Here is a 20,363-nt window from a genome sequence, read left to right as displayed (position 1 = left end):
AGCATGCTACTTGGTATAACAAGCATATTTATTATTCATTGTATCTACATCAGTTACAGAAAAGCCCAATACCTATTCTTCCATACAGTTTTAAACTCTGGGGTGATATAGAGCTTCAACTCGGAGGAAAAAATAATCAATTATATAATATGGTCTCTTATGAATGGGAAACCCTCAAAACTGTATAACCAATTAGAAATTATTCAAATTTCTTTTACTCGCAAGAATGTTTAAATGTGGGTGAATTGCAGAGATAAAAGAAATAAACCCTGATATTTCTCAAGTTCTGCCATAAAGAAGTCTAGTTTATTGCCTTAGTTTCAAAAGAATAGTTTTCTAAGTATTTCAAAATGTCCGGCTGGCTGCCCCTTCCATTCTCTTTGGAAGCTTCTTTGTCATCCTCGTGGCACATCCCTCTGGCATGCATGACCAGCTGCAAGCTAAACCCTGTGGAATAAGAATTCTTTCATCCCTTTGTGTGATGTGTTTCATTTTCAGAGTTTGGATGATCCTCTTCGGCAGCAGCAGCAGGCATTGTTAGTTTCAATAGGCTGCCTGGATGCACAAGAACAGTCATCATAGAGAGACAGGCTCTCAGGGTCCGTCCCTTCATGTCATGGTGCTGTGTTAGATCACTTTCCTCTGCTGGATTAATGGTCAGAGAAAAAGGGAAACAAACTGTACCCAAAGGAATCCAATTAAAGCACTTGAACTTCACTGACGTCTATCCTATTGTTTTCTTAACTTCCTAACCTATGGTTAATTATTCTGACCAGTGGAAAGAAACAGCATAAACATGGGAATTATCTTAAATTCCCTACTTTGTTTAGTTTGTAAAGGCATCAAAATTTTACTGTGCAGGATGGAATACTAATTTGGTATAGTTGAAATTTTTTTTGGCTAATCTTTCTATTTCTTCTTTACTCTCCTCACCAAAGGCACTGCCAGGACTTACCGTACAACACTCCTTGGCTTCTGGAATTTTATCTCTGCTCACAGTCTACATTACAACATTAGTTCATTCTGGGCACTTTAGCTTCCTTGAATCTCCAGTTGATCTCACACCCATGCCTATGATATTCTTCTCCTGGTTAATCAAGAATTCTCTATTTCTGCTCCGTCATCCATGCCACTGTAAGTAGGAAAGTAATTTAGGCTTTTGAATCACAGCCTTGTCATTTGTGAAATGACTTCCCTTGACTCTGAAATTCTCTGTCCAAAATATAAGCTAGGATTTCCAGTAATAACAATTTATATGTATAAGATGATTGATAGTTTGCAGAGTGTCTTTATATATTTTATTTTATATAATTCTGACTACAGTTTTGTGAGGAGAGAACCATTATTATTATCTTTTTTTTTTCAGAAAAGGATACTATAGCTCAGTGAGGTGAATTGATTTACTCCATCACATAAGTAGTAACTGCCCGAACCTGAACTTTAAATTCAGTTTTCCCCACCAAGAGGTGATGGTTTTCTCTAGTAGGGAGAAAGTTTCTTTCTTAAAACCTTAATTTCTTTATTAATTTTAAAAGTTTTTTTTATTTTTTATGTGAGTATATATGTTTATGCTTTGGGTAGGAGTCTTCTTATGCTGAATTGAGTTTGGGGTGGAATTTTGTGCTCTTAGTTTTTGTCAGTGAAGAAGTCTCCTACAATTTCTAATTAAAGAAAGATAAGAAGGAATGTATTACTTTTCTAGTGTAGAATTTTGGTATCATTGTGAACCTCCCTGCTAAATTTGTTTGTATTTTTCCATGGTAAATCCATTCTTCCAGAAAGCTAATATACCTATTAAATAGTATTGTTTATAATTAGGAAATGGTAGGTATACAGTAGACTCCCTCTTAGGTTATTCCTGCTTCTGGCCAACAGAATACTCTGAAAAAATGGTGTGTTTCTGTTCATCTGTTTACCTGCTGCCATGCTTATCTACAGTCATTTGTGTTTGTTTTTGAATTTGTTTATGCCAAATGAATGTGCAATTGTAATTTAATTATGCAAACTGATAAAATATGAGTTCAAAAATATAAAGAGTTGTTGATTTTATGAAATTTAAGTTGGTGCTTTGGAAAGACTTTTTAAAGGTGAGTTGCTAAAACAAATTGCAGTTTAAAAAGGTGTGGGCTAGACAACTGTGAAAGATTGCCTGAGGTAGGGGTGAAAAAATGTAAAAAGCTGGAAGGATCCCTCATTCAGTTTGCTTTCCAAGTACCTTTAAGCTGTCATTGAGTTTAAATAAACCAAAACAGGAAATCATAGGTGATACATCATGGTGTAGTTTAAGCAAGAAGGAAAACATGAAACTTTATATAGCAGATCAAGAGTCAGTGACAGCCATTGGTCCTACATCAAAGGGTTAGTAAATAATTTCATGTTTTAACTTTAAATAAGTTAAATATGTTAAAATCAATTTATTCAGTTTCTTTCTGTATCTCAATGTCCTTTTGTGTAAAATGAAAATGAAAATAACTTTACCCAAGAATATTTTTTTTTTTTTGTATATGAGGATTAAATGAGATGTATAGTACATAGAGCAATGCTTGGTACAAGTAACATACTAAAAAAAGTTAGCCATCATCATTATCAATGACAATCTGAGATCATCTGTTGTAGTGTTTATGTATACTTATATTACAAATATAATGTTATGGATCATTGCTGCCAGCTATTGGAATATTTTAGCAGCAACACATACTAGTTCTGTTTAGGTTAGCAGAGACATTCTGTCCATTTTCTACCTCCAACCTACCTTTTTTTCTCAGGATTTATGAGAAGAGCAAGTTTGATGGTAACTACCTATGTCAGTACGTGCTGAGACCTGAGATCACATGTGTGACATAAGTAAAAGCGCTATGTGTAGTCTCAACTGAATCCTATCAGAAAGCTTGGGATATGGAGAGTTCGTGGCATATTAGTGGAGGTGTGTGGAATGCTTACACAGTACTCACCCACACTGAACCTAGATCTAGCCAACGTGTTTCTGACTTAAACGAACACTCAGCTTCACACAGTTCTCTCCCGATTGAAAACAGAGGAAACAAAGGAAAAAGAAACAAAAGTCGTGACAAAAAAGACTGTTAGCTAAGCTAGAATAGTTGTGTGGTAGTAGAACACTGATTCTAATAGTTGGCATTGTACTGTATGCCTTCCATTCCTAAATGCTTCTGCTGACTGCTAGGTTGTAAGTTTTCATTAATGAATCCACATTTAGAAACTGCTTTTTTTGGAGGAGAATTAAGCTTTTACCTGCTTTCTTTCTGAATGCTGGGGCACATATTTTTGTGTAATTTCATATCCTGTTTTCCTCCCTAAGCATGTGCTCTTTGTAGAAAAGAGACTCACACTTCAGAGTAGGAGACAGCATCAAGACTGCTGAAAGTTTCCTCTTGGTTTGAATGTTATAGTGGTTGATTCAGTGCTGGAGGCATAAGAATGAATGCACTATCAAACTGTCAACTTTTTTTTTTTTCAAACAAGCAATGCAATACTATCTACAGTGATTTACATGGCATTTTTCTAATTTTTTAAAAAATAAAGCAAGTAGGTAGCAAAGTGGAATTTGAAACATTTTCCCAAGTTGAAAAAAATTTAAATGGTATAATCTAAAGTTAAGTGCCCAGTTGCTTTCTTAAATATTATAAGTATCACTATTGGTCACTTTCGGGGCCTATAATGGAAATTAGGTCTATTTGTTCTTCAGATTATAGTCTATCTTTACCTGTCGTGAAGCTTTTGGATAAAAGAAATACAATCATTCTATATCGTGCCTTATCATGGCATTGGAATTTCCACAGTTCATTCCTATCTATGAATATTATTCAAGTTTCTTCTCTACTCTTTCTTGTGCTTTTATTTCAGTCATTACAAATTCTATCAATTTCAACTGTCCTCAGCCTTTTGCCCTCAGATGTGTATTCTTCATATATTTTCTTTATTCTGCTGTGTGTCATCATTTTGTTAACATGTATCCTTTTTAACCTATACTGTTTATTCTTTAGTTGGTTGATTTAAATTTCACCCGTTTTGTCTCTTTAGGTATACCATTTCCATACAGTTATTTTACATGAAGACAACAGTAAAACATAAAAAGTAGGCAGCAGCCCAGAAAATCGCAGCCTTTATATACTATACAATACATACTATTTATATAATGGGTTAGGTATTCAGGCTTCTATCTAGTAGGGATCTACACATCATACTCTTCTGTTAAACCTGATATTTTTAAGGAGGTAAGATTTAAGAGGATTTCCTTCTTTATATGACATACCTGTCAGTCAACATGATATTCAGAACCCATTGTTAAGTACCTTTCTAGGCAGAGAAAAGAACCAGTTTCAGTTTGGATATGTTTGAAGTGCTGTGTTCTTGACTCATATGCCTGGATTGGCCCAGCTCCTTGATATTTTACATTTTAAGTTGTGGATTAATGCATATCTATAACTGGTCCAGGATGTATTGCTAAACTTGAGGTGATGGGTTAATCCACCACTATTGTTTTGCTGCAACAATAAAATTGCGGCAGGCTAGCAAGTTAGCTTTAGTGCATATTAATGGCGAGCATATCATGGTACATGAAGTTGATACGATAGAAGAAGTGTACAATTCAAGTGCATGTGCATGTGCAATGTTTCTGTTCTATTTTGCTTAGAAGCCAGTTTGAATATCATTATAGTGGTATAAAAGGCAGTAACTTGATCAGAGTTCTAGGTAAGAAAGTTTTTATTTCTCTGTATCAGAGGGATGTGCTGTGGAGGACAATCTGAAGATAAGAATACCAACAATAGAATCATCTTTTTTTTTTTTTTTACTGATTTTTCAAATAGCATATGTCTTTCTGTTATGTTGAAAATTTTCACTGTGTTATCCATTGAATGATTTATATGCCCAAATAAAGATTAGATTGATGTTCCGTATAAAGATCTGCAGAAAAATGTGTGTATATATATAAATTTTTTAAGAGGCACTCATGACATTTGACTAACTCGATCAACTATAATAATAAATATCATTGAATTATTGGCCTCATCAAGTAGTAGGCAAATAATTGCTTCCCGGGTTTGTGGGTGTGATATTATTTCTAATTTTATTTAATCATTTACTAATTCACTGTGCATCTATTATGTTGGGGATAGTATTTGGCATAGTAGGGAATGTAAAGATGATTAAGACACAGTCCTGTCTACTAAAAGTGTGCAGTCTGGTGGTATGGTATAGTACATTTCTTAGATTTGGCCCTTACTATAATAATGTGTTAATTCCTTAATTATTTCACATGATAAGAGTCTAATTATTATTGTTATGGTCATATTTAATTTACATCTTCAGTGTTCTGAATAATAATTTAATGTACTACCAACATATTTAAACAGACTATAATCCCTAAAAGATAAAGATAAAATATTATAAATATAAATGTAAAATATTATGGTAAAAGCACTTTAATAATTTTAAATGGTTTTAACTGGTTTTTAATCTTTTCACTCTCTTTTGTTGGATTCCTTTATTTGGGAGAAGACAGGGGAAGGGACATTTGGCATTTGGTGTTGAAAATCCAGTGTGAATAGAAACCCGAGAGGAGACTTTTGATTTTCTGATTTCTAGTTCCATAACATGCAAGGTGAAGAGCCACAGGAGATGAAGATGGAGGGATAAGTAGGTGCCTATCATGAAGTGCCTTATATATGCTATACTAAGAAGTCAGAAATGAGGTGGGATCCTCTGAAGGGTTTTAAGTGAGGAAATGACTTCTTAGTTCTATTGAGAAAAAGCACTTCAGCAATTGAGTGTGGAAGAAGGGGTATGAAGAAAGCAGACCAGAGTCTGTGAGACTGTTAGAAGACAATTAATGGAAATCAGGGTGAAGTATAGTGAGGGCATGAACTGAAACAGTGACTGTGAAGCTATGAGGAACCTAAGAGGAATGGATTCAAGGGATTTTTAGGAAGTAGAATTGATAAGATTTGGGTACTGTATCGGTGAAGGGGTGGAAGTTGGATGCTGTTAAAGAAAAAGAGAAGTTTAGGATGACTCTCAAGATGTTTTTCTCGAGTACCTGGGTGGTGCCATTTGCAGAAAAAAAAAAGGACTATTTTAGGAGTAGGAGGTTGGTGGCCAGCCAGAGGTCAGGAAGGAATTGAGGGTAGAAACTTAGGAAAGATATAAAAGATTCATTTGAATTTCAAACACAGATTTACCTTGCTTTGAGAAAATATGATGTGATTCTGTAACCTGAAAGAGTAAAAGTTAGGATAAGTGTGTTATGCTGAAGCTGAATAAGGGGAATGAGTTTCATGGGAGAGTATTGATTAGGGAATTTCTACTAGTAGAAAACAGGATGTCCAGAGTCAAATATTTATTCTTGGAGACATTTTTTCCCAGATTTTCTTTAATGACAGCTCTCCTCCATTTTATATCCAAAAGCTAGATTGGCTTATTCAAATGTGTTAACCCTAGGATGTGTCTGGGAGTCTTCTGAGTCACTACTTTAAGGGGATATCTATTTGAGGAGGCACTATGGTAATGAAAGCAAGTCAAATACCAAATGTATGGATTGCTATTTAAATAACCTTGCACAAACCACTTAACCTCTTTGGGTTTCCATTTTCTCACTTTTATAAAATAAGAGGGTTGAATCGGATGATCTCTGATAACCTTTTTATAGTAAGAGCCCTATGATTTTATGACCCTGTGAATAGCATGATTATAGCTCTAGGATTAACATCTTCAGGAAATTTAACAGCAGACTTCCAGTTAAACTTCGTGATTGAACACATGTTTTTCCATGTTCCTTCCTAGTAAGGGACTAAAAATTTTGAGCAAAAGACTAAAAAATATATAAATCCACAGGCATAAGGAAGAGGAAGCAACATATTAAAGAGACACAACTTTTGGAAGATGTAAAGGAGGAACTGGCAGAAATGGGAAAGCCGAATACATGTGACTGGAGAGTGTTGTGTCAATGAGAAACAAGACAGTTCATACTCCAGAACCTGTTTAAGAATTAGAGGCAGTATGTCCTGTAGAAAACAGTAGCTGAAGTAGAAATAAAGTATAATTAATATACTCAGAGAGATAGCAGAAGATACTGCTACTATGAAACATGACAAGATTATATAAAAAGAAGAAATAACCAGAGAATAAGCACTTTTATAATAACTGAAATAAGCTTTTATATGATAGAAATTTTCCTGAAAATAGAGCAAAAAAAAGTCAAATAAATGGAAAATAGGAGAGAAGAGATAAAAATCAAACAAACGATCCAACAAGCTGAACATCTGATTAATGGGAAGTTCAGAAGGCAGGCGAGAGCAAAGAAAATGATAGGGAGGAAACTGTTATAAAAGTATATGGTAAAATTTTTCAGCCCCAAAGGTTCCAGTTTGGAAGGATCTTCTGAGTGCCCATAAAAATGTGAAAGCAATTCCACACCAAGATGCATAATTGGAAAATTTCAAAATAACAGTAATAAATAGATGATAATAGAAAGTTCCCGAGAGAAATATAGGCCTCATACATTGGCTCAAGAACCAGAATGGTATCTGATTTCTTAATGACAACATTCAAAGCTAGAAGATGTGGCTTTAAAATTCAGAGAGAAGGCCGGGCACGGTGGCTCACGCCTGTAAGTAATCCCAACACTTTGGGAGGCTGAGGCAGGTGGATCACCTGAGGTCAGGAGCTCGAGACCAGCCTGACCAACATGGTGAAACCTCATCTCTAAAAAATTTAAAACTAGCTGGGTGTGTTGGCACATGCCTGTAATCCTAGCTACTTGGGAGGCTGAGGCAGGAGAATCACTTGAACCCGGGAGGCGGAGGTTGCAGTGAGCCAAGATTTTGCCATTGCACTCCAGCCTGGGAAACGAGAGCGAAATTCCGTCTCAAAAAAAAAAAAAAAAAAAAAAAAAGAATTATGAGAGAAAATTACTTTTAACTTTGAATTCTACACCCAAACTACCAATTACGTATAAGGGTAGAAAAAACATTTTTATTTTTAGACACATGGTTCTCCAAATGTACCCCCACACTTGCTTTCTCCGGAATTGTTTCAAGGGTATGCTACGTCCAAGTGAGGAAAAACTGAGGAGAAAAGACCAAGATAGAGGGTTCAGGAAACAGGTGATTAAAATGAGGTGAGAAAGGTGAAGGGAAGTTACTGGATAACTTCTGTGCATTGATCTTAAAAATAAGCAGTCTTTACTTGAGCTAGAAGATGGAGAACTCCCGAAAGGGATGTCTTCAGGGGAAAGAATTAGAATAGGATTCTTCATGTGTAAGAGTGTGAAATATTATATTTATAGAGGTTTTACATTTCTGTTGCAAACCTTGGGAATGTGGGGGGCAAAGTGACAATATTAACAATAGGAAGGAAATATTGTTACTACTCAAGGTACCAAATGTATTCAAAAATATTACTTCACTGATTACTGGAAGGATGGAAGAAAGGGAAATGAGGTAGTATCAAAGAACTAAGTCTTCTGCCATGATAGGAAGTTAATATATTATGTCTAAAATTTATAAATAAAAATAACAATAGAAGCATATTATTTAGAAATCAGGCAAACACTAGAATGAGTTTTGGCAGAGGGTCAAAGTTTTGGATACGGGATGCTGTATTTTGTATAAACTTTGTGGTACTATTTAACTGGTAAACTGTGTGTGTGTGTTTGTGTGTGTGTGTGTGTGTGTGTGTGTGTGTTGCTTTGACAATAATGAGAAATGATAACTAAAAATTCTTACAGATTTCTAAATGCTATGAGCTGAATGTTTGTGTCACCTCAAAATTCATATATTGAAAACCTAATCTTTAATGTGATGGCATTTGTACATGGGGCCTTTGGTAGGTAATTAGGCCATGAAGGTGGGGCCCTCAAGATGGGAATAGTGCCCTTATAGAAGCTTGCTTCCACTCTGTCTCTTGGCCCTCCATCATGTGAGGACGCAGTGAGAAGACTACTATATGCAAACCAGGACAAAGGCATTCATCAAAACCTGGTCATGCTGGCATTCTAATCTCAGACTTCTCAGCCCTCAGAACTGTGAGAAATACATTTTTGTTGTTAAATTCTGTTGTTTAACCAAGTCTATGGCAATTTATTATTATTGCACCCTGAACTCAGATACCAAGTATTTTGGACTTTGATTGTTCAGGTAGTAGATTAACTCATGATGAAGTGTATATATTTTTGTTATCTGCAGGAATTAGAGTTATACCTTGACATTATATTTGAAGGGGTTTTCGCATGCTGTTTGAATGATAAAAACAATGATGAAGAATCTAAAAGTTGTTGCTACAATTCTGAGACCTTAAATATATGTTACAAAATTTAAAAAGGCATTAACTATTGATGGCTAAGGAGAAATAGAAAAAGACAGATAAACTTTCATTTGGTTTGGTAGGTATAATCATAAGACAAATTAAACATAGTTGCTTTGTTAAAGAAAGAATAGTTTCCCTTCATTCTAAGTAGTTTTTAAATACTTAATATATTTTTCCCTCAAAAACTTTGCATGGCTAGTGCATCTATTCTCATGGAATGTTTTTAACTGTTTGCTGACTCATTAGCTATTCATCTGTAGCTAATATGAGGCACTTTTGTTGTGGTTTACAAAAATATGGAGGTTATGTGATTTGGTGCATGCATTTCAGAATTTAGATTGTCTTTTAATAATCAAAAACATGCTTTGCCAAAAATCTAGTATGAGTGTGCTCAAAATATCAAGTGCCTTTTGAATTTTTAAAATAAAAACATTCCAACAATAAAAACCCAACAGCAAACAAACAAAAAACCCCAGAACTTGTCTTGTAAACAAAAGTGTTTAGCAGATATCCTTAAACCTCCTTGAGAGAATTTTTAGACATAAGAGAGGCAGAGGCAGAGACCAAGATAGAAAGGGGGGATATTTCTCCTTGAATTTTTCTTTTAACCAAGGACATTTGGTTTTGGGAGGAAAAGAAGGAGAGAAGAAATGAAGAAAGAACATGATTTGTCTCAAAGATTTATTTTATAATTGATTGTAGCTTATAAAGGTTTTCATTGATAGTGTATGGGAGAGAGAATTGTAAGTTTCAATGCTGACACTTTGAAGAGTTGCCCTGTTATTGCAGCTGCTTAGGCAGCCTTGCTCAAACATCAATGGTGCATTGTGGCAGTTTGCTCTGCTTCCCTGTTTCTGATGGACGTTCTCCAGGCAGTGAAGGGCAAAGGGGCTGGCAATGCTGGTAACTGGCATAATAGGAGTTGTTGGATCAGTTTTGAGTGTATGTGTGTGAACTGAACGTTTAATGACAAATTCTGTGTTATGGTTAGTCTAAGCTGAGTATCAGAATGTACTTTATGTTCAATTAATGTAGATTGGATTATATTTTTATATTGTCATTTTATAGCATAGAGTGCATAATGTTTAGGGTGCATAATTTGTAGTGGTTGGTAAAAAGGACCAATGCTTGCTGCCTGAACAAAAAAAATTGAAGATATACTCAGATATAATCACACTGAAATATTTCTGTCATAAAATAAATAATTGACTTTTACTGTTCATAATATTTTATTGTTTTTAAGGATACCCATATTAAATAGTTTCAGCTGTTTGTGAAAATGTGTTCTGATTTTTTTTGGTCTCTTGTGTGTGTGTACAAGAACACTCTAATTTACTCTTGTAAAATCGTAAACTTTTAGAAGAGATTTGAAAAGTCACCTCAGACTGAATAGATAGAGGCATTACTTGGGAGAATATGACATAATTTTCAGAGATGACACAGAGAAGGCAGAGATGATGAACAAATATTTTGCCTATATTTTTCTTTCCAAGAAGAATAATCTTCAAATTAGAAGAAATGAATGGAAATCAATAAATTGGTTAATAGGAGACTATTTTGGCAAATTTACAATCTAAGTCCACAGAGTTTGGTAACTTTTATTCAAGAATAATAATGACCATAATTTTTTTAAAAACTTGCATATTTATATAATGTGTGTTTTTCAAAGTATCACAATGTATGTATTCACTGAATCCTTAAGGGAATCCTGAAAAGTAAACAGGGATGACTATTTGCATTTTGCAGGTGAGGAAACCAAAAGGAAGCAAATAAAAAGTTTTTAGCAGTAGGCAGTAGGTCATACCTTTTCACTTATTCTCATTTAATAATCACCATGCTCCAAGAAAATTTTATTATCTCCATTTATAGATGTGTTAACTGAAAGTAAATATATCTTTTTCAAGCCACACTGCTGTCTATCAGAACAACTGGAATCCAAACCTAAGGACTTTTGCTCCAAAGTCTAAACTTTCTTTGACTGAACATCATAACTTCCAGAAATGATCATATTTGGAGAATCGGAAGATATAAAATAATGGATACAAGCAAACATATAAAATATTAAAGATGAAATAAAGGTGAATTCTCTAACCTACAGAGTTAACTTTATCTCCTGCAAAATTCTGAAATATTGAATAGATTATTTGTGACCATGTAGAAACCAAGGTGTTATTTTACCAAGAACAAGTCATGTCATACTAATCTCATTTCTCCTTTTCTGATAAAGTTAACTGGGTTGTTAGCTAAGAAAATTTTGCAAACATATGTATCTTGGTGTAAACAAGGGATTTGATAAAATGATGGCAGTAGATTTAGGGAGATTCATAAGTTATTTGAAAAACTTCCCCCATATAGTCATGTTTAATTTTCTTTTCTGAGGCAAGTATTTGTGAATAGCCTACTAAATACAAAGCAATTTACTGTCCACTGTGGGATATCTTTTTGAAAAAAGAGAGAGTAAAACATGGAAGCTCCTTTCAAGAACTTAATTGCTTAGTATAGAAGCTAAGAAGAAAAATATAAATCACATAAATGCCCTGTGATGAGTATCTTAAGAAAGAATCCTCTCAGCATGGATCCCGGGAAAGCCTTCCTGTAGAGATGGCATTTTAACTGAAATGGAATTACGGATAGGGTTTGCATATAAAGAAATAGGGAAAAGGTTTGCAAGTGATAACATTAGCTCACATTCATTGACTGTATATTGTTTCTTTTATTCTTCATAATCATTTTGAGGTAGACTATATTATTATTTCTACATGGACATGATAATATGAAGTCAAAGATGCTTTAAGTATAACTTGCTTTATAAACTAGTTGGGTCAGGATTTGAACTTAGACAGTTTACCATAGATCTCATTCTCTTAAAAATAGAATCAAGAAGATGGGTGTTAAAAGAGGTTGTTTGAGTAATGATACAAAGTTAAGCATGGCTAAAATATAGGTATGCCCAAAGGAAGATAGTAAGTGACCTTGTTTGATCTTGTCGTCTTAAATAGTATTTTATATATCAGTGGTTTGGGTGAGAAGATAAGGAATTACTATACAATTTTCAGGTTATTCAAAGATGAAACACTGAATAAATTCAATTCCTGTATTTTATTTCAAAATAGTAACAACATAACCAGATACCATATAAAAGACATGGTTCTTGAAAATAAGCCCTGAAATTTGTATGACATAATAGGGAGAGGTATACACTTAAAAATAATATCTTCTTCTGTTGCATAGAAAAAATTTTATGCTTGGATGTACTTTCCTGATCATAATGTACAGAAGGGAAACCTAAACAGAGCACAGTGATCACACTGAGATTAGGAGATAGAAATTGAAATTCAGGGAGATGAGGCAGTAGAATTTGCAGGTAGAATACCGGAGGAAGGGAGATATGCAGACAAGGAACTTTGGAAATCTGCAAAAGGATTGCCTTGAGCCTATTGAATGCTGAATATTAAACTGTGCATACTTTGGGTAAACCTCCAGAAGGCCGGCAAAGAACAACCAGAGAGCTGAAAAGGTGAACCACTCCTGGAGCTTTCGCGGATTGGAAGTGTTTGAGTTTTGTTCAGCCAAAGTGGAGACACTTTGTTAATAGCCAGGGAAATGAGATCCCAAAAAGGATAATTCTTTTTCAGTAGGGCCTAACAAGCCTGCCCTAATAGAGCTTAAGAATAAGACTCAAAAGGACCAAACTGATCTGCAAGCTATTAACCAGCCTGCCAGAAAAATGTCTAATACTTTGTGAAGTTCAACAAAATTCAGCAGTCAACAACAAAAAGTTTATGATGAATGACATCAAAATAAAATTTATGTTACATGAAAAAGCTGGAAAATGTGACATGTAACTGGGAAAAAAATTACCAATGAAAAAACGTTCAGAAATGGCAGAGATGACGGAATTAGAAGAAAAATATTTTGTAACCATTATTATAAATGTGATCAAGGATTTAAAGGAAAGCTTGACTATGATCAGGAGAGAAATGAGTGGCATAAAAGGGAACTAAATGGAACTTTTAGAGATGAAAAATATATTTGGAATGAAAAAATTTACTACATTGGTATGGTATAACAGGATATTAGATACTACAGAAAAAGGATTAGTGAATGTGAAGACATAGCAATAGAAACTATCCAATCTGAAGCACACACACAATCTGAGAAAAAAGATTGAAACAGACACACAAATATAACCTCAGAGATTTATGGGACACTATGAAGCAGTTTAACCTGTATGTTAGTCCTAAAAAGGAGGTGGGGAAGGAAGGAAGAAAAATTACTTGGACAATCAAAGGCTGAAATATATATATATGGAGTCTTGCTCTGTTGCCCAGGCTGGAGTGCAGTGGCACATCGTGGCTTACTGCAACCTCTGCCTCCTGGGTTCAAGTGATTCTCCTGCCTCAACCTCCTGAGTAGCTGGGACTACAAGCAACCCCCACCTTGCCCGGCTAATTTTTGTATTTCTAGTAGAGACAGGGTTTTGCCATGTTGGCCAGGCTGGTCTCAAACTCCTGACCTCAAGTGATCTGCCTGCCTCAGCCTCCCAAAGTGCTGTGATTAGAGGCATGACCCACCATGCCTGGCCACTGAAAATATTTCAAATTTGACTAAAACTGTATTTACAAAGATCTAGAGATTTCAACTATAAGTAAGAGGAGAAAAATGAAGGAAATGGCATCAAGACACATGATACTAAAATTGTTGAAAACAATTGATAACAAGAAAATCCCAGAAAGAGACAGGAAATGGAGGCATTATGTACAGGAGGAAGACACAAATATTAAATACTTCTTGTCAGAAACAATATAAACTAGAAGACTTAGAATTTCATTGATATGTTTGGCTATGTCCCCACCCAAATCTCATCGGGAATTGTAGTTCCCATAATCCCCGTGTTGTGGGAGGGACCCGGTGGGAGGTAATTTAATCACGGGAGTGGTTACCTCATGCTGTTCTCATGATAATGAGTGAGTTCTCACAAGATCTGATGGTTTTATAAGGGGCTTTTCCCCCTTTTGCTCAGCACTTCTTGCTGCTGCCATGTGAAGAAGGATGTGTTTGCCTCCTCTTCCATCATGATTGTAAGTTTCCTGAGGCCACCCCAGCTGTGCTGAACTGTGAGTCAATTAAATTTTTTCTTTTATAAATTACCCAGTCTTGAGTATATCTTTATTAGCAGCATGAGAACGGACTAATATAGACATCTTTAAAATGCTGAAAGATAAAAAGAGTCAACCTAGAATTCTATAAAATAAAGACTTTTGGGGACATAAAAGCTGAAAGAGAAATCATCACCCACAGACAAGCACTACAAGATGTGTTAATGGAGGTTCTTCAGGAAGAAGGAAAATGATACCAAATAAGATGGAAATTTGTAATAACACAAAGTAAAGAGGAGTACCAGAAATGGTAAATATATGAGTAAATATAACACACTTTTTTCTTTTAAAATTTTATTTAAAAGGTAACACTTTGCAGCAAAATAATTAACAATGTATTGTGGGTTATATAGTAGTAAGATGTTTGACATAAATTACATAAATAATTGGAGCAGGGAAATAGAAGTGTGTTGTTGAAATGGTTTGATATTATATATGAAGTGGTATATTATTATTTCAAGGTAGCCTTGATAAGTTAAAAGTTACATATTGTAAACCCTACAATAATCATTACAAAATAAAGAGATATAACAGTAAGGCCAAAATAGAGATAAAATGGAACATTGAATACTCAACTATTTCAAAAAAAGGCAGACAAAGAGAAAAAAAAATAAAGAACACATGGGACAGAAAAGAAATACGAAGTTAAAGTTAATGGATTTAAACTTTCTTATATCAATAAATGCAATGACAAAAATTGCAATCAATAATTGCAATGACAGTTGCAATAGCAGCTCATCCACCAGAGGTGTTAGAGAAGACAGAAGGATAATGAAAAGGGGTTAACTGTTTTGACTCTATAATAATTTTGAAAATTATGTTTAAGTAATTAGAGTATGTAGATTATTTTTATTCTCAACAGAATTTATACAAGCACATATATTCTGGAATAGATATGTGCTACAACAGAATGACTCCAACTCCTTGAGGCTCTCATTAGACACAAACCTGTTATTGTTAAGTAGCTACATCTCAATCCATATTTTCTGGTTAAATAAAGAGAGTACATTATTCCTTATTCTACTTCTTTGCTCTTCCTTTTCTCATATTAAGCCCAAACACCCTATAATGAAATATGGATAACCACTTACATAAATGGTGTACCATAAAATTGAGATGGTAAGATTTGACTATTAAACAACTAGGTAGCTTTATGGTTTATTATTTTCTGGATATAAACAGAAGATCCTCCTGATGCTATCCACATACCCTCACGCAATCATTAGTATAGTTCGGTATTTTTAAAATAACTTTTGAAGAGAAGACACTTTTTAAAATACAAAAATGGCAACATATAATACATATTATTCTATAAGCTAACTTGTTAAAATGCAAAAATATGAAAGATGCTTGTTTTTCAAGTATTTATGTGTATCAGTGTCCATGACTCTTTGCAAATCATGTGTGACTTTTATGATTATTTCTTTAGGATAAAATCATTGCCAGGTTGCAGGGGCATGAGGGAGCACATATAAGGTTATGATACATATTGCCAGAATACTCTTCAAGAATTCTTTACCTCTCACAGGGTTGTGCTAGTTTCTCTACCCTCTCATCGATAATAAACATTTTCAGTCTAAGCCAAGGTAAAAAGTGATACCCATGACTTTTTCATTTTGTATTTCCTTTATTTTTTGAGCATCTCTTTATATGTTTACTAGTCATTTGAACTACTGTGAAATTTCCATTCACTTACTTGCATGTTTTTGTTTTATTCTGCTGTAAAAAATGTTTTACACACTCCCATACATGCTTATATGTATCTCTCATTATTTTGTAAGACTGTATTTTAAAGATACTCACTTTTTGACATATATAAAATATTTTCACCCTTTTGGCATTTGACTTCTAACTTTTATATGGAATTATTTACTCTAAAGATGTTTTCAATTTTTATGTAGTCATATCTCTCAACTTTTTGAGGGTCTTTACCTTGGATTATGCCAAGGAACATTTTTCTACCCCAAAGCTATGAAAATATTCTTAGTGTTTTCTTATAATACGTTTATTGTACTGTTCTCTATAATTAATTTCAATTATCTGTATTTATTTTAGTGTATGAATTTCACTTGCTCAGCTAATGAAGTAAACATGAGCCAGCAAAAGATTATGAAACATGGCAAACTTCTGAGATTGATAATGATAGTTATAATATTAATAGAAAAATAAAAAATGACATTCATTGAGCTTTTACTGTCTTCTAGGGACAGTGTTTTTTATATTCTTTATCTTTACAACAATGCGATATGTTAGATATTTATATCTCTATTATCTCATTGTAACGGTGAAGAAACAGATTCAGTAGTTAACCTGGATTTCTCATAGTGGGTGTTTGCTATCTATTGTCATATAACAAATTACCACAGACTTAGCAGCTTAAAACAACAAACATTTATCTCACTATTTCTGTGGGTCAGGAATTTGGGACCTGCTTTACTGGGTGCTTCTAGTTCAGAGCCTCTTGTAGGTTGCAGTGAAGATATTGACCAGGTCAGTGGTCATCTAAAGAATAATCTGTTTCCAAAATGGATTAATCCTATGGTTCTTGGTAGGAAGTCTCAGTTTCTGACCACAAAGTCCTGTCTGTAGGGCTGCTTGAGTGTCCTTATGACATGACAGTTGGTTTCTTCCAAGGCTAGTGGACAGTGAGAGAGAGAGAGAGAGAGAGAGAGAGAGAGAGAGAGATTACCAGGAGGGAGCAAAAGATTGTAAGTTGGAGGGAGCAAAAGTTTGTAAGTTAAAATTACTCTATGGCTATATATATTAGTGATAATAGAAAGAAGTCCAAGAAACTGGGACCTGCATTGTGTACATGGCTTTGTCTCAAGGAACCCCTGGAATGTTTGTCTGTTGTCAGGAAAGCATGGACTCCTATAAAAGTTTTGATTTCTATAAGAACTCAGACCTGAGGTTGAAGACCTTCTACATGGATTAGCAGGAGAATTGAGGCAAGTCCTAACACTTCTTATAATTAATTTCTGCATTTTCCTGATGCCTGTAAGTCACTATAAGAGTAAAATATTGAGTGTGAAAAGCATAAAGAGCTAAGAAAAATCAAAATTATTGCATTACTTTTATGAATACATGTAGGGATCTTAATAATCCCTCTATGGGCCAACCTGGGAGCCATTCCTAGTTTTTTATTTGTTTTGTGATTTATAATAATCAAAGTGTCAAATCAGTTGATTTTGTATTATCTAAGTAATTGTTGCTTGCATGATAAAGGTTAACCTTAAATATTCCTCCTGTTTGGCAAATAATTAATTATGCATTATTAATTTTCACTTGAACTATGTAGTCTTAGCCTAGAGAGACTCAAAATAGAACATGCTGTAGTGTTCTAATGGAATACTTGACGGGGAAAAGATTTGAGTTTGGGTTCTAATGCTGCTACTGAGTAAGTGCAAAAATGTGAGATAATTCATACAATCTCTCTAAGCCTAAGTTCTTCATTTTTAATATTAAGACGTTGGTTGTGAAACTTACAAACTTGCTATGATTCAAATAGTTGAGCTTAAATTAAAAAAGTTTAAAGAATAATTAAACTGGATGACTATTGGTTATTTCAGCGCTTTCCTGGAAATACAAATGAAAAGGAACAACCTATGTTGAAAGTTGAAATGGTGCCTTTTATTGCTCCCTGTAAACAGATCATTTGATATTTTTATCACAATAAGAAGTATTTTTTCACAGCTATTTCTCTATAGTTTGTTTCTTCATAAGTTTAGTCATAGGCTTTCTGTCTTGGGTATGTGAAAAGCATTGTATATTTCAATGCCTCACATGTTAAAATTCAGAATATTTAATTTTACAAAGCAGAAATTGACTAATGGGGGACAATGGATTATGATTATGCTTACAGAGTAAAGAACTAATTTAAACAATTTAATATGAAAGCCCAATTTAATAGGAATTACAATCATTAGTAGTTTATGGGAGAGTTTTTTGCAATATAATGATAAACCAACCACAGACTAAACCCAGTAAAAACTTTGTAACATGTCCTTATACCGACACATTCTGTTGTTTTCATCCTTTTTCCTCTTTATTTTTCTGGATATTATCATCTTACATCTCCTAGAAGTTTCATTCAGAATTTAAGTATCAGACAGGTTTATAGGGCATTCGGATAATATAAGCAGAGAACAAATTATTTGCAGGTTTCAATATGGAAATTCTTAAATTATAGAAAGAATATGTATTCTAATGAAAGTTGGGATGAAATACAGTAGAATCTCATCAATAAATGTGAGTTAATATACACATACTTAATTTACACAAATTTAACCATATGCATTCATTTAAAAAAGAAATTTTTATCAAATTATTGAGCAAGTACTCTCACTATTCCACTTAAATAAGCTCTTGCTGATTAGTGAACTCACCACCCTGAGTGAGATTGGAGTTATGGTTGGCTTCCATCCCTGTTTACTTCTCAGGATGTGAGCATCTTGCCATTCTGAGTGATTCTAATATTTGATGACACCAAAAAATACATAGCTTTGACCTAAAACCAATTCAGTTACTTTATATGGTTCTGAACTGAAATAAAAACAAAACAAAGCAAAACAAACAAACAAGAAACTGTTCCAACGATGAAGGATAAGAAAAGCTCTGTTGGATTTATAGGGAGAAGATTTATAGTCTCCAATGTGTTACATCTTTTAAAGGGATAGATCAAATGCTTTAAAGTCGTTATTTCTCATTTGGATTCACAGGAAAACAACATAGGCTTTGTTTTGTACTTCTTTATCTGTGGTTAACAATATTTAGTTCAGGGGGAATTACTGTTCTTGAAAGGGGAGCTAAAATGGCTAAACCACAACAGAGAGAGTTATAGGCAGTGATGTCAGCATTCAGATTAGCCTTTACTGTGGACTTTACTGAAGAGTACAAAAAACTGAATGACCAGAGAGTTTGATTAGCTATAAACGTTTTTTGAAATTAATTAAAAATTCAATTAAAGAATGAAAATTATTATTACTAAAAACAATTCAAACATGAAAATTTTTACAGTGCTCATTTTGCAGTGATGGGATTCTGAATAATTTTATCTTCTGAAATTTCTAGCTTTTTGCATTTTCTGAGTCTCCTATAATAGCATTTACAGTTTATAGTGAAAATTAGATATACCTCAAACATTATAACAAAACTCTCAGTAATTTAAATTTATGATTTCTTAAATTAGCTCACTTTTGTGTCTGTGTGTGTGTTTGTAGGATAATCAGTGATAGGAATGAAAACTTGACAAGCTTCTTCCTGAACAAGATATTTGTCTTTTAGTTAAACTTTGCAGGAGGAAAGATGACGAATTTCCATTTATTAGTGCAATATAATTATAATCTCATCTCTTTAACTCTGTATTTCTTTAGTATACAAGATAGTACTGTGGTCTAGTCACTTTTTTTTTTTCCATGAGAAAGCGTCTCACTCCATTACCTAGGTTGGAGTGCACCGGTGCAATTTTGGCTCACTGCAACCTCCAACTACCTGGTTCTAGCGATTCTCCTGCCTCAGCCTCCCGAGTAGCTGGGATTACAGGCATGCACCACCATGCCCAGCTAATTTTTGTATTTTTAGTAGAGACAGGGTTTCACCATGTTGTCCAGGATTGTCTGGATCTCCTGACCTTGTGATCTGCCCGCCTCCACCTCCTAAAGTGCTGGGATTACAGGCATGAGCCACCATGCCTAACCACACTTTTATCTTTAGAAAGTTTTATTATATCATTAAATTGTGGCTAAAGTCTCATCAATTAGGATTTCACTGATATGGTTGGGCTCTGTGTCCCCACCCAAATCTCATGTTGTATTTTAATCCCCAATGTTGGGGGAGGGACTTGATGGGAGGTGATCAGATCATGGGTGCAAATTTCCCGCTTGC

General features: G+C 34.2%; 1 protein-coding gene across 8 annotated transcripts in view; it reads left to right on the top strand.

Moving 5' to 3' along the window:
* The window catches only part of ZBTB20 (zinc finger and BTB domain containing 20), an 832,789-nt gene that overhangs the window by 74,936 nt on the left and 737,490 nt on the right, over positions 1–20,363 (top strand). For 4 of the 8 annotated variants that reach the window (NM_001348800.3, NM_001348803.3, NM_001348805.3 and 1 more), the window contains one exon: positions 939–1,134. The exons of the other annotated variants lie outside the window; for them this stretch is intronic. The gene's annotated coding sequence lies outside the window, so the exon portion shown is untranslated. Of the gene's footprint in view, positions 1–938; positions 1,135–20,363 lie in introns of those variants that run through there. 8 annotated transcript variants of the gene reach the window in all.

This window comes from Homo sapiens, chromosome 3, assembly GCF_000001405.40.
Source record: "Homo sapiens chromosome 3, GRCh38.p14 Primary Assembly".
Taxonomy (NCBI): domain Eukaryota; kingdom Metazoa; phylum Chordata; class Mammalia; order Primates; family Hominidae; genus Homo; species Homo sapiens.
This window is presented reverse-complemented; position numbering and strand designations above follow the sequence as displayed.